Below are 14,454 nucleotides of genomic sequence, written 5' to 3' on the forward strand. Positions count from 1 at the left end.
TGCACAAGCTCTCCTGCCCGCCACCATGTAAGACGTGACTTTGCTTCTCATTCGCCTTCCACCATGATTGTGAGGCCTCCCCCAGCCCCGTGGAATTGAGTCCATTGAACCTCTTTCTTTCATAAATTACCCAGTCTCAGGTATGTCTTTATTAGCAGCATGAGAATGGACTAATACCCCAGGACAAGGCCAAGATGGGAGTTCATGCTCCTGACCAGAGGGAAGGTGGAGATGAGCAGAGAGCACTCTCCTCCAAAAGAGTTGATTTCTAAATGAAAGGAAAAAGCAAACACAAATAAGAAAAGATTTGCAGAAATCAATTAGAATAAAAATGTCAACAGACAATAACAGTGTTGCATAGCTTGAACATTTTTATATTGATTAAATTGTTTTTCAGTAGAATCACTGACAGAACAGGTCAGAATGAAAAACATTCCAAATATACAGAAAAAAGATTACTGCTCAGTTAAGGTCCTTTTCCAAATAACTTCACACAAATCCTTTGGTTGCTCCAAACAGAATGAGAGCTATGAGAATGGTGGCCCAGCCCGGCCATCAGACTCCCAAGCATTTGGTCCCCGGTCTGAGGTCACAGAATCTTTGCCACCTTTACCGAGACTGCTCTCAGCTGAGGACAACAGGCAAGAACCAGAAGGTGGCCATCCTTGTCTTTGCATTCAACAGCGCCAAAGTCTGAGGGACAAACTCTTGGTGACAAGTCTCAGAAATGTGACATGTCTCTGTAGCAGCCATAAAGCTTTGGTTTAGGATTAATTTTGATTCTCTGGAATATCAGCCTCCCAGAATGGCAAATCTTGACCTCATCTAGTCCAGCCCAACCTTCCCTTTTTACATATAAGAAAACTCAGGGTTGAGGGCAACATATCTTGCCTAAGTCCAGGTCTAGACCCAAGCCCTGCCTCTCACAATCTTTCCCCATTTCTGCTGCCTCTTTGTTGCCTCTGGAGGATGAAGAGGGCTTTTTCGCTTGCCCTCAAATGCTCATTTCTGAGGTACCCCCCCCAGAAAAAGGTCAGGTAGCAACACAGCAGCAATAGTATCCACACTAATCTAAAAGCATATTTAAATATGAATTACTGTGGTAGGAAACGAAAGACAACTGTGTGATCCAACCACTGCCCCCTAACCAAAGTTGCATTTTTTTCTTCTGGAAAGTCAAAACACCAAGTGCAGGTTCTAGAGGGTGACACCAGCAGGGATCTCTCATCTTGATTAAATTGGCACATCAACATGTTTAATTAGATCTTTCAGAAAGTGCCAGAACATAGGATGTAAATGTCTTCTCCATTCATATGCAGCCAAATTTCCCAGGCAAAATACTTATCCTGATTCTGATGTAGTTCTTCACTTAGGACTAAAAAAAGGCTTAAGTATAATTGCTTAAGTGTATAAGGTGGTGAAACAGGAATCTTGAGCTACGGATTTTAAGTGGTAATAGCTACAGGATTTACTTGAATTGTTTGCTCTTTTAGGTAATTCTCTTGTCTTGTTCTTCCCAGTATTTCCTGGATTTGTTCCTGGCAACCTCGCTGGGTCTGAACTGCTGGCCTGCCCAGTGGCAGAAGACTGCTTGCAACCTTTGGTAGGCTTTTTAGAAATTTATGTGACCGTAATGGCTGCATTTCTGCAACCATAATAAACAATTTGTTTTTGGAAAAAAGCAGTAAAACACCCATCTCCAAAGACATTTAGACTACTTTGCAAGCATTTTGCACACAGGGTGATGATGCATTTTTACCAAACAGTAATAACTTGCTAAATATCCTAATGGCATTTAAATTTTTGCCAGCGTTCCCTCCATCCCCCTTTCTTGGAGCTTGCTGAATTTTTGTGAGTCCAGATTATTTTGTGCTCTTGTTCTCTCTCTTCTAGAAGAGCATTTTCTATTTTCCTCTCATAAAAACCCAGTTAGGCTGGGCACAGTGGCTCACGCCTATAATCCCAACAGTTTTGGAGGCTGAGGTGGGAAGATCACTTGAGGCCAGGAGTTTGAGACCAGCCTAGGCAACACATCAAGATCCTGTCTCTACACACACACACACACACACACACACACACACACACACACACACACACACACACACACACACAAGCCAGGTGAGGTGGCATGTGCCTATAGTCCCGGCTACTCAGGAGGCTGAGGTGCGAGGATTGCTTGAGCCCAGGAATTTGAGGCTGCAGTGAACAATGATCATGCCACTGTACTCCAGCCTGGGCGACAGTGAGACCCTGTCTCTAAAAAGAGAGACAAAAATCCAGTGGATTCTATTTTTGACTGATGTGTTTTTGGGCTAATCACTGATAACTAAACTTTTCTAAGTAACTCACCCACAGCAGTGTCTGTTGCTGTTCTAGCCGATAAAAAGTCACATGAATAGCGTGATCTTATTCAATCCTCATGTTCCAACTAAAGTCCTAAGTATTGTTTCTATTTTACAGATAATGAAAGAGAGGTAGAGCTTCTAAGCAACCAGGCCCGCAAGTAGTTAGTGCTGAGTGGGCGTAGGAACTGAATCCCCTGCCCCTTAGCTGCAAACTTTCTGGTGGTTTCTTGTTTTCAATATGGGGTTATGGTACTGTGTGACATCTCCCTCCCACCTCTGCCATTTAGCAGTAAAATATCCATGTGGAAAAGAAACAAAGTATGCAAGTAAATATGCTAGCTCTAGAGATAAAGAATCTCCCATATAGGTCTTCATCCGTCTTGCTACCAGCAAACTATTCAATTGGCACCGAATTTGCTGAATATCAAAATGGCTTCATTTATGTGCATTATAATATGAAAACATCTTTTCTATAAATACCATTAAGAACCTGGCTTTACTTCCTCTTCTGAGTACATAAAAACCGCTGTTCAAAAATACCACATTAAATGTTTACACAATTTATTTTCCTTAAATAATAATTTGCTACAATCCTGTCACAAATTTAAAAAAATTTAACACGGTATTCACAAAGGCAGAATTCTTTAGGACAATCAAAATGATGGTGTTCTTAGAATAAATTAACATCAGATTGTGTTTATATTCAGATAGTCTGATCCTCTCCTTTGAAATGCAATGGAGACCATTGTGACTGGGGGTGAATGCACACATTTGTTCTTCCATACAGAGACTCATTCTTTATATATACTCAACGGTAATTTGAATCGTTAGGAATCCTGAGAAACACTCACCCCTGGGCACACACATGTACACAGCCCCACGGCCAACCCTCCAGAAGCTGGGTTTCCCATGGTTCAATTACTAGAAGCTCTTTTCTCAGAAGGCCAAACATTCGGAATATTTAGATGACACTGTCCCATCTCCCCTTGGGAAAATCATAAGGTTTCAAGTGGAGGAGCTTGAAGTAGCAGCAATACATGTAGGAGATTCAGTAGTCGGTGATTCCAGTCCTGGGTGCTGAGTGTGCAGTAGGAGGCAAGCAGAGGCAAGAGACACACCTGCTTCTACAACTAAGCCACAAGATGACCAGAACACACTGAGAGTACCAGTTCTCAGAGCCTCAGCTGAAAATTCACCTGAATGCACATTACTAATCCAGGTTAGGCACCAAGAGGGAACCTGAAGAGGGACACAATTCTCAGAAACATGAATATTGGAAGTCGCTGGGAGATGGGACAAAGGGAGGGAGGGCAGAGAGGTGTTGCTCAGCCTTCAGCCTGACCCCCAGTGCCCTGCCATCTAGTACATACGTCAGGGTTTCCTTAGCATCAGGGCGGGTGAATCTGAATTGTTCCAGCTCCACCTAGAAGCACAGAAAGCTCAGCCCTTACAGTCTGACACACAGAAACAAACAAAACATCCAAATGACCCAAGATAACCACACCATCTTGTTGCTGGGAGGACAACAGCTCTGTGGGTGTCCGGTCTCAATTGCTCCAGGATGCCGACAGGGGTGTGTGTGGTGATGTTAGGGAAGAAGGCATTAGGACAGGCCCCAAACTGAGATCCTTTTTGTATCTTTCCATAGAAATACAGGCCTAAATGATGCCATAATTGCATGCTTATCTACACCAGTTCCTATGTACACGATATCTTTTCTATAGAAGTTTAAAGTGCCTGGGTTCAGAGGTGCCCATTCCTTTCCCACAGCTACTGGTTCCTCTTGCTGCTTCCAGAGAGGTCTGTCCTCCTCTTTCAAGGAGGATGCCCTTGGGAAAGAGGAATGAACTTTTTCACAGTTGTCTTAACTAGGATCCAGCATTTGGACTAAACCTTCTTCATACACACGAAGAATCGCTTCACACACAAACTTGTACTGGCTCTGGAAAAGAAAAAAATGCTGTCAAGTCCTGTAGCTCCAGGAAATGCTGCCTACCACACCCTGTACCGGTGGGTCTTTTGCAGCATTTGTAAATATTCCCTGAGCGCCAACTCTGGGCCACAGGCCAGGTACACCTGTGAAGCCCTAGTTCCTATATGATGCGGGGAGGGGGCACTCCCAGAGAGGGGTGGGCAAAGTGTCATGGAGACATGACAGAGGGAGAAACTGGCGGTCTGGGGGAGGTGGGAAGGAGCAAAAGTCCCTGCGGGACAGCCCTTCTTGTAAGTGGAAGTGTGGAAGCCTCAGTAAGAGCCCATTTTGAGAAACGGGGTCAGGGAGCCTGCTCCTGGACTCAACACCTAGGCATGTGGAGGAGGAGGGGCTGCACAGGTGGGCTGGGACCTGGTTGTGGGCACCTTGTGTTGGGGTAAGGAGTCTGGATTGTGTTTTACAAAGCAGAGCCACTGAAAGATGCTCTGCAGGATACAGTTATTTATCTTAGCAAATACCTAAGAAACATATTGTAGCAAAGTATACAGGGGGGATAAAAGCATTTAGACTGAGCTTCTCCAGCTAGGAAAATCTATCTATCTATCTATCTATCTATCTATCTATCTATCTATCTATCTATCTAGTTTTCAAGACAGAGTCCTGTTCTGTCACTCAGGCTGGAGTGCAGTGGCGTAATCTTGGCTCACTGCAACCTCCACCTCCTGGGTTCAAGCGATTCTCCTGCCTCAGCCTCCCAAGTAGCTGGGACTATAGGCACATGCCACCATGCCTGGCTAATTTTTGTATTTTCATTAGAGACGGGGTTTCACTATGTTAGCCAGGCTGGTCTTGAACTACTGATCTCAAGTGATCCACCTTCCTTAGCCTGCTGAAGTGCTGGGATTATAGGCGTGAGCCACCGTGCCCAGCTTCCAGCTGGGAAAATCTACCAGGATGATGGACTTTTTTCTTTTTAACCAGCCACGAGGTCTTCCATACCAAAAAACAGGGCAGAGAATGGCCCTAATAACATAAGCTGATTTTTTTTCTCTTAACAAGATTTTCTGGGTACAAACTAATATAAAACTACCAAAGCTTAAAAATTTATTAGGGAAATCTTATAAACTTTGTCCACAGCCTGTGAAGAGACAGAGCTGGTTGGAACATATAGTTCCTGCTCCTTTCTTTGCTAACTCCTCATGTACCCTGGGGGTTTTTACCAGAGAAGACACTTCTCCAGGAAGCCTTCCTAGACTTTCCAAATCCTGCTTTAGATACTCTTCCACCATGTTCTCAGACAGCCCTGAACTTCCCTCACCGCTGCTGACACTTAGCATAGACTAATCCAGTTCTCCTACTAGATACAAGCCTGTCTCTGCACCCTTCTTTGTCAAATGAATGAATGAATGAATGTGGGATGGTCCCCATTTTGCACAGGGAAGCTGAAGCTTGGAGAGAGGTTCAGGACTTATGCAAAGGTTGTTCCATTTGTGGTGGGACCTTAATCATGCTCTTTCCACACCGCTTCACTGCCCCGCTTGCAGTTCCAGGGGAAATCCCCAAGAGTTATCCCCTAGAGTTCCTCTTGAGGACAAGAGGATGTTGCACATGACCCTACTTTGAGCTCTGGCCTGCCCGTGGAGGACACAGCAGGTACTCAGGCACCACACGGGTGGAACAGAGCTCAAAGTAGGGTCATATGCAACATCCACTGAGCCAAAAGGAGTACCCAGGTCTAGGTGGGTCGGTGCGGGGGAGGATAATGGACAAATGATTGTTCAACGATACAGAATGCAACCAGGGCTGCTCCCTGACAGACGGGCTGGCAGGAAATAAACCACAGAGGCAGCAGAGCTCAGAGGTGAGATGGGTGTGGGCTGTAGCCACTGACAAGCTCTGTGACCTTGGGCAAGTGATTCAGTCCCCCTGAGCTGCAGTCTGTTGACTCACAAAGCCCTTCTCTCAGGCCTGCCTGGTGTAAGTGCTCAGAAAGTGCCAGCCACCGTAATTACTGGATTTCTACTCACTGATGTCTGCACCATCATGGCGCGCTGGTCTCGCATTTTTCGGACAATATCCAGTGGGTAAATGGGCAGGTTCCTCTCAGTTAGGCACATGGCTGTTTCCATAGTGACCAACACACCGGTTCGACCTATTCCAGCACTGGAGAGGGGAGAGAAGACAGACTTGGGATTTGTCTGAGTAGCCTTTCTGCATGGCCCAGCGAGCAGTTCCCCGCTGACTCCAAAGGGGCTTTCCTCCCTTGGCCTTCGAGAAGACAAAACGCACACTCACGGCGTGCTCTCAAACAGGCTGAGACAGCCTGTCCTCACACATCTGAGACTGGGGGCTAGCAGGCAGTGGAAAGAGGGCCACTGTGAAGTGCCAAACCTATTCCCTTTCTCACTCACACCTATGACGAAGGTCAGCTGACAGAAGGACAGGAGAAAGGGTGTGTGAGGGGATTTTCTTCTTCAGTTCTGTGCTACATTCACAAAGTTAGGATTTCATAAAATTCCAAAAAACTTTTGAAATGGTGAAGAACCACAGTCAACAGAGGTTTGTAAGGGCACACGACTTTGTGGGATGTAGGGTGGGTCTGGCGCCTGCCAATTGTCTCCAGGCCTTTTCCGACAGGGAAAGGATTCCAAACCTAACAAAACAGCAAGCGCCATACCTGCAGTGAACTAGGACGGGCTCGCTGTCCACTCTCAGAGACCTCACATAGTTTACAAATTCCAGAAAGTCGGAGGAGTCATCGGGCACACCGTGGTCAGGCCATGCGACGTACTGGAGATGTGTCACTGTGTGTTCTTCCCCGGTCTGTGGGAGATGCAGTGGCCTTGGTGAGCCCATCCAGGTGGTGAGCATGAGGACCCAGCCCCAACCCAGACACAGGGTGGCCCTGTCTCCTGATGCTTTCTCCCTCTGCGCACAGCCCTGCTGTGGCCCCTAGCAATTCCTCCCCTCCTTCCCCAAAGATCCCCATCCCCTCTCAGGCTCAGCTGTGGGCCTGTCCTGCAGGGCTGCCTTCCTTGATCACTTCTGCCCAGTGATCTCCTCTGCCCAGTGATCTCCTCCATTTGCTGCTATGGTACTTGCCATTAGAGGCCACACATGCTGACTGTTTTTTTTTTTTTTTTTCAACTGTGGCAAAATATACTAACATGAGGCTTACCACTGTAACCACATTTAAATGTACAGTTCAGCGGCATTGAGAATACTCGCAATGTTGTAGAGCCATCAGCACTACCTATTTCCAGAACTTTAAAATATCCCGCAAACATAAACCCTGCACCCATTATGCCATATGGCAAAATGTCCATAGATGTCCTTTCTCCTCCTTCCCCAAGCCCTTGGCAACCACCGTTCTACTTTCTGTCTCTATGAATTGGACGACTCTAGGCACTTCACAGAAGTTGAATCCTACAGTATGTGTCTTTCTATGTCTGGCTTATTTCACTTAGGATAATATGCTCAAGGTTCCCCAGTGTTGTAGCAGGGGTCAGAATCTCCTTCCTTTTAAAGGCTGAATCATATTCCATTGTATGGACAGACCACGTGCTGTTTATCCATTCCTCCATCGATGGACACTGGGCTGTTTGCACCTCGTGCCTGTTGTGACTAGGGCCACTGTGAACTCTGGGCCCTGGCTCTTTGATGGGCAGTCTTGCGCACTTACTGACACGCTTGCCAGGTGCAAACAGAGTGCACACCTAGAAGCGTGACCACCTGGGATGACAGTGGCCGCTGATTCAGCACCTGCCCCTCCACCGTGCCCCTCAGGCTGCGGCTCACCTGGGTGTTTGTGACCAGCATTTCTCGGGACACATAGGCGATGGTGCAGTCCTCTGACTGACACTGGATGTGAAAGCCGCCGTGGTTCATGACGTCGGGGGGATCTGGCCAGTACTGGTGACATTTGGTCTGTAAGAAACCACCGAGAGTGAGTGAGCCCCGTCTGTGGGGTGTTCCTGCAAGCAGTTAACCCTGGACAGGTGGACGGGTTAGGCATCCTCTCATGCACACCCGAGAGCACTGATGGGAGAAAACAAACTCAGCCAAGTCCATCAGCTGTTTCTCAGGGCGGGGTGGGGGCAGCCTGCCAGGGACTAGGCCACAGGTCTCCGCTCAGCCCCAGGCTGCAGCCTGGAGGAGGAGGACGCAGCGTCTTCATCACCAGGGGCCACTCGCTGGAAGAGCACCAGTGGCCTCAGATGCAGGACCTTAGCCTGTGAGCAACCTCTCTACCCTCCCAGACCCCAGCCCCTCAGGCCCCTCCCCACCTCCAACGGCCCCTCCTCCTGCACCCCTCCTCCACCATTCTCCCCACCCTTTTGAGGGGGAGGCCTCCAGGCACAGCAGTTAAGGGCACACATCTGGTGTCATACACAACTCCGCTGGGATCCTTTCCTCCTCCATTTGTCAGCCAGATGATGTCGAAACAGTTGCTTAACCTCTCTGATTTTCATGTTTTCCACCGGGAAGATGGAGGTGGCTCCTGCCTCAACGCTGGTGAGGCGGCCGGCGTGGGTGTGCAGTACTTAGCCACTGTAGGGGGCAGGCGGGGGTGGCCATGACTTCTGTTGCTGTCATGGGTTACATACCAGCTTGAGTAACAGTGATGAGTTTCCACAAAAACCCAGATTAAGGGACTCACAAATCGAGATGAATACCTTTCTCACTGGAGCAGCGTCTCTGAAGCCCTTGAAGGCTTTCTTAGGTGACGCCCTAAAGAGGTGATATCCCACACAGCAGACAAGGAATCCAGGGCTACTCGGGATTAAGTGACTTGCCCAAGGCCATGAGGTCACAGTGATGCAGTCCAGCACTCTTCCTATGGCACCCCAGTGTCTCTCAATATGGCTGTGCTGTCCGCACAGACGGGCTGATCCCACCACCCTCCCCAGTTTCTATCCCTGCTTCTAAAACCTGCAACTTGTCCTGTAAGCCATCTTAGCACCTGCCTCTGGCTTCTAAGCAAACTTCAGGGCTAGGCTGTCCATCCCATCATAGATCCTTCTGTCAGTTAAATCCTAAGTCATTAAACAAGCATTTTCCCCTGAGCCTATATGTGGTTATAGCAACTTAAGTAAAAAATACATTTGTTCATGGTGGAAAAGTGGTATAACCATAAGACATATGTAATTTGTTGGGAAACAGCCTCTCTATTCTTACTTTCAAATGTCACAGTGAATACTTGAAACTAAACTATGCCGCTGGAAAGCTGGAGTTAAGAATTTACTTGGAAACCTTAAACATGGGTAATTTTGGTTAGTAGCCATTCTGTGACTTTGCTTAGACATGACAGGTTAAGGGCTGTAGGGCCCAAGGCAGAGTTGACAGACACAAGCCCTCTCTCACCTCCTCATCTGCATAGGAAGGATAAATCCCTGTCCTGTAGGCTCCCAATGGTCCTGCCCACAGGGTAATTGCAGAGAAGATATTCTCTGATGAGATCAACCCATGCAAGGCAGAACTACCAATATCTGTACTGCCAGAGAGACTCCCCTTATTCCACAGTGAATCTGAGCAGTACTAGACTCTCTCTTTACCTCTGACCAAATACAGATTGCAGTTCAATTTGGATCTGGAAAAACTGGTGGTGTAGTGGAAAGAACAAGTCTGTGGAGATCCTGAGTTTCAACCCTGGTTAATAAATTCTACTAAACATATTTGGTTAGTGATCTCGGGCAAATTACTTAACTTCTTTGGGTCTCAGTCTCCACATTAATGCTGCTGCAGCGAGGGGCGATGATTCTGAAGCTTCATATCTTCAGAACGGTAGATGCTAAGCACTGAATGGTGCCTTTCATGAACATGGCTTTACCTTGGCTTCAAAACAACCCTATGAGGTAGGTACTATGATTGTCTCTGTTTTGCATATGAGTAAACTGAGGCTCAGAGAATGAATCAGTGTGTGTCAGATCACAGAGAGAGGAACTGGGGCAGAGCTGGAATGTCTCAACAGGCCTGTGAACCCTTAGCCAGGCTGGTAATACTCTGGAATGACAAGAAAATGCACCTTCTTAGGGCTGTGGTTAAATTAAACAGTAACATATGCAAAGCTGAGCATATAAGAGAAGAAGCACTTCTGGAGAAGTTGTCAATGGACAACGAAGATCACTGAAGCTAGGAGGCTGGCAACATGCTGCTGGGGACGAGACCCTGGGCAGATGCTGCCAGAACTCAGAATGCTCTGTCCTCAGAGATTCACAAGCCTGAGTGGGGCCTGTTTCTCATTTCCAGTCCCCAGGTGTGGTTTCGAGAAGAGGCTTCAGGAAGGGAAAGCTGACCAGGGAGATGGTTTCTGAAAGGATGTGTCTTTCTGGACCAGAGGAAACAAGCCACAAGCTGGGTGGAAGACAAGCCATACGCCTGCTGTGAGTCCTGCTCTACTAAATGCATGATATGGGTGAACACAAATGGGACATACTGAAAATTTCAGCTCTCAGAGAAAGGGATAAATCTGCTCACTTGGAGTGACCGACTCCTAATCCAGAAGAACTGGTGGGCAGTGATGAAGATGAGATAGGAACTTAGGGATAAAGGGCTCGGGTCATCTGGTCATCCAAGGGTTTGTAACAGGAGAGGGAGGAAAAGGGAGGAAATATGCACCCTGGATTTCAGAAGAACAGGATTCTAACGATGGATAACATGCCAAAGAAGGAGAGAGAGCACTATCTCAGGAAGATGGACCAGATAGGGTTTAGTGGGAGTCATGGGCCAAATTTAGAAGGCTTCATGGTGAAAAGCTTGCTTTCTTGTTCACTTAGTTAATAAACATCCCTGAGGATGCAGAGATGAATGAGACACGATGTGGCACTGTCCTCAAGGTGCTCTCGAATCGGTGTTGGGGGAATGTGGTGAAAAGAAAAGAAAGAGGGAAGTCAGAGACACAGGCGGCTCACACAGGAGGAGGAGGTAATGTCCTGGAGAGAGGGGATGGAGATCTCAGTATTGAAGGACGAGGGTCTTCATCAGGTTGGCAAGGCAAGGATGGATCATTCAGGCAGAGGGAATGGGACACACATGGTCAAGAGGTAAAGAGGCACATGATGTACCCAGGGAACGACAGACAGTACAATACACCTGCACAGAAGGTACCAGTCTCAAGGTGAGACTTTACGTGGTGCACCTGAGAAGCCACCAGAGGGTTTGAGCAGGGAAATGACAGGACCAGGCAACCCTCTGGAAAGGTATCGCTGAAAGCTGTGCCAAGGGATGGACAAGACGGGGGCTGGGGGAGCCTCTAGGCCAGGAAGCCACTAAGGAGGCTGCTGCTGCTGCTCCTGGAAGAGAAATGCAAAAGCTCTGAGAGAAGGTGAGGGTTTGGGGGACAGAGAGGGGAGACTGGCAGCGGCAGACCGTGGTGAGTGGATGTGGGAAGTGAAGAGAAGGGAGGGGTAAGACCGATTCCAGGTTCCTGGCTCGGGTGACTGGGCAGATGGGTGCCACTGGCCAGACTGGTGAGCTCAGGGCGTGTACCACCTGGGTGCAGGTGCATGGCTGACAGCTTCAGCTTCAGGCACCTTGTATGTGAGGACACTCAGGTAGATGTGTCCTATCAACAAATGAGCAGATGGGTCTGGGTTCAGGAGGTGGAAGGAATCAGTGCCTAGATCCATTTGCTGAACCAACCAGAGGGCCTGATGAAGCCTGACTCAGAGATCAGTTCTCTGCCGAAGAGCCTCGTTGCCTAAGTGTGCATTTCACCAAACAGTGTGTTTAACAGATAACAAGAGCAAGGGGGATTATAGAGCTTTGTGCTGCCTCAAACCTCTTCCTGTCACCTCACATGATCCTCATGGCAACCCAGGGGCCCCTAATGTTGCCCAGAGCAGCAAACCTATCTGCCTCTGGCCCTGTGAGACAAGGAGGCCAGGATCCTGACTCACTATGCCACGTGGAGCACCCACTACTGGATGAGGCAGCCAGTCCAGGGTAGCTCATTCTTAATTCTCAAAACAATCCCAAAAGACAGGCATTACCACCTCCTTTCTAGTGATGAGGCAACTGAGGCTTAGAGCCCTGTGCAAGGTTAAACAGTGGAAAGCGGTGGTGCCAGAACTCAAACGCCTCCTCTGACCCCAAAGCCCCTGCCTCTGACCGCCAGTGGGCCAGGAAGAGTACCTGCATTATTCACGTGTAGTAGCAAAAAATGATATTTCTCTCCAAAAGAAACATCTCTGATGGAAAGTGAGGGAGAATAACTTATTCAATTGCAATGTTTCTAAGAAGAAACCCATGAGCCTCAAGGGAGAGCACAAAGAAAAACATTTTGGGTGGGAATTTAAAAAGGGAGAAATCAAGTATCTCGTGGGGAAGTGTCCTACTGACCGCTGGGGATATGAGGCTTCAAAGAAGGCTCTCTCTGCACTTGCAGACCTGAGAGTAGCACAGCGAGGCTGGGGAGCGGGGGTGGACTCCAGCCAGCTGCACACCTGCTGGGAGTCCCACTCTACTAAATGCATGGTATAGGAGAAAACAAATGGGAGATGCTGAAAATTTCATCTCTCAGAGAAAGGCGCAAAGCTGCTGCCTGGAGTGATGGACTCCTAATCTGGAAGAACTGGTGGGTGGTGATGTGGACGGGTTAGGGCCTTCAGGATAAAGGGCTGAGGTCATCCTGTCATCCAAGAGTTTGCAACAGAAGAGGGAGGAAACATGCACCCTGGATTTCAGAAGAACAGGTTTCTACCAATGGATAAACAGGGGAGGTTAAGTTCCAGGGCCAGAGATAGTGAAGGGAATGCTAGACCTCAGAGGAGATGGGAATCTCTAATGCAGGAAACTGACAAAGCAGCTGGAATAGCTTCAGTGAGAAAGAAAGGGCTGGGAAACAAACCCTCCAGGTCACAATGGAGACCTCAAATGAGCTCAGGTGCAGAGTGGACATCAACAAAAAAGAGGGGCTGTCAGCAGCACGGAGCTGGCGGACAGCAGCCATAGGAGTGGCTGGAGGAAGCTGAGGTCTCCTGGATCACAGAAAGGGCCTTTTCTCCCAAGCTGGAAAAAGCAGAATGAGGGAAAGAAGGGGGCTGCTATCCAGGGCAACCAACCCTTAGGGTTATCAGCCCTAAGACAAGAGACCATTGCTGGGCGGTGGGGGCTCCCTTTTCTCTGAGGAGAAGAATGACCTTCCTGCTGAAAAGGCAGAGTCAACTTTACAGGGAAGAGAAGGGCAGACAGACAAGACAGGGACAGCGCTGAGCTGCCCAAATGGATTCTATGGAAAATGGCACAGTGATGTAATTTCTCCTTTTTACAAAGGCCACTGTTAACCTGGCACACACACTGCTCTTTCAGGACCAGCACTTGTCCTGAATGGGCAAGGCCACGTCACTGCAGGGGTGTTGGGGCACATGAAGTAAGGCTAGGGGAAGTGCCTTCTGGCTTGTTGTAATGGATCCAAGCTGGGACTGGGGAGGAGGAGGGCTGAGCCTCCCGTCACTAGGGGTGTCTATTGGTTGCTCTGTAGAGGAGACTTAGGGTCACATACGGGCTGGACCAGGAGACGCTGAAGACCCTTCTCAGCGCTGAGATTCATGTTACACAGAGTAGGGTGTGACACTGCACACATCTGAATTAGAAATCAAGCTACTTACCCGCCCTCGTTCTGTGAGAGTCGTCAACATGACAATGAGTGACAACTTCTGATCCCAGACAACCTGCCAAAACTGTGCACAGGTATGCGGCAGGGGCCCCTGAGTGGCGATGTACTTGTTCACAAGGTTAGCAGCAGGAATTTCCATCTGGTAAGAAATTGGTAAAGTATTAGAATCTGTTGCTGCCCCAGGGTGCACAGGGAACTGGATTTTAAACTATTCTACTTGCTAATTGATATTGCACCAGAAAAATTATCTCTTTATCAATTCACAGCCAATAAGGAAAATCAAACAAGTTATTTCTAAAACTTCTTGAAAAATATCTGACAACCACCAGTATTAGATCTTTAAGATAAAAGTGTGTGGTACTCAGTAGGCAAAAATCAGAAATCTATCTGTGAGATGGCAGAAGAGTTTAAATGACTTTCATTGCTCTATCCTAAATATAATCAATATTGGCTATCTGCATTTTCAGCCGTATGTACCAATCCTACCCCTAAGTCTTTCCCTATGCAGGGTTTTCTATCAAAATCTATTTACGTTTATTTAAAGCATAAACCTTACAGGT

The 14,454-nt window shown here is 47.8% G+C and overlaps 1 protein-coding gene across 18 annotated transcripts in view; it reads right to left on the reverse strand.

Annotated features, from left to right (window-relative positions):
* Positions 348–14,454, reverse strand: part of PTPN3 (protein tyrosine phosphatase non-receptor type 3) — a 162,727-nt gene continuing 148,620 nt past the window's right edge. For 17 of the 18 annotated variants that reach the window (XM_011518888.3, NM_001145368.2, NM_002829.4 and 14 more), the window contains 5 exons: positions 13,887–14,033; positions 8,077–8,205; positions 6,956–7,101; positions 6,306–6,441; positions 354–4,287 (listed from right to left, as the gene is read on the reverse strand). In XM_011518888.3, coding sequence (XP_011517190.1) covers positions 4,210–4,287; positions 6,306–6,441; positions 6,956–7,101; positions 8,077–8,205; positions 13,887–14,033 — 636 coding nt within the window. In that variant the 3' untranslated portion in view covers positions 354–4,209. Of the gene's footprint in view, positions 4,288–6,305; positions 6,442–6,955; positions 7,102–8,076; positions 8,206–13,886; positions 14,034–14,454 lie in introns of all 18 variants that reach the window. The other variant, NR_026918.1, reaches the window with a different exon arrangement.

The sequence above is a fragment of the Homo sapiens genome, chromosome 9 (genome assembly GCF_000001405.40).
Source record: "Homo sapiens chromosome 9, GRCh38.p14 Primary Assembly".
NCBI lineage: Eukaryota > Metazoa > Chordata > Mammalia > Primates > Hominidae > Homo > Homo sapiens.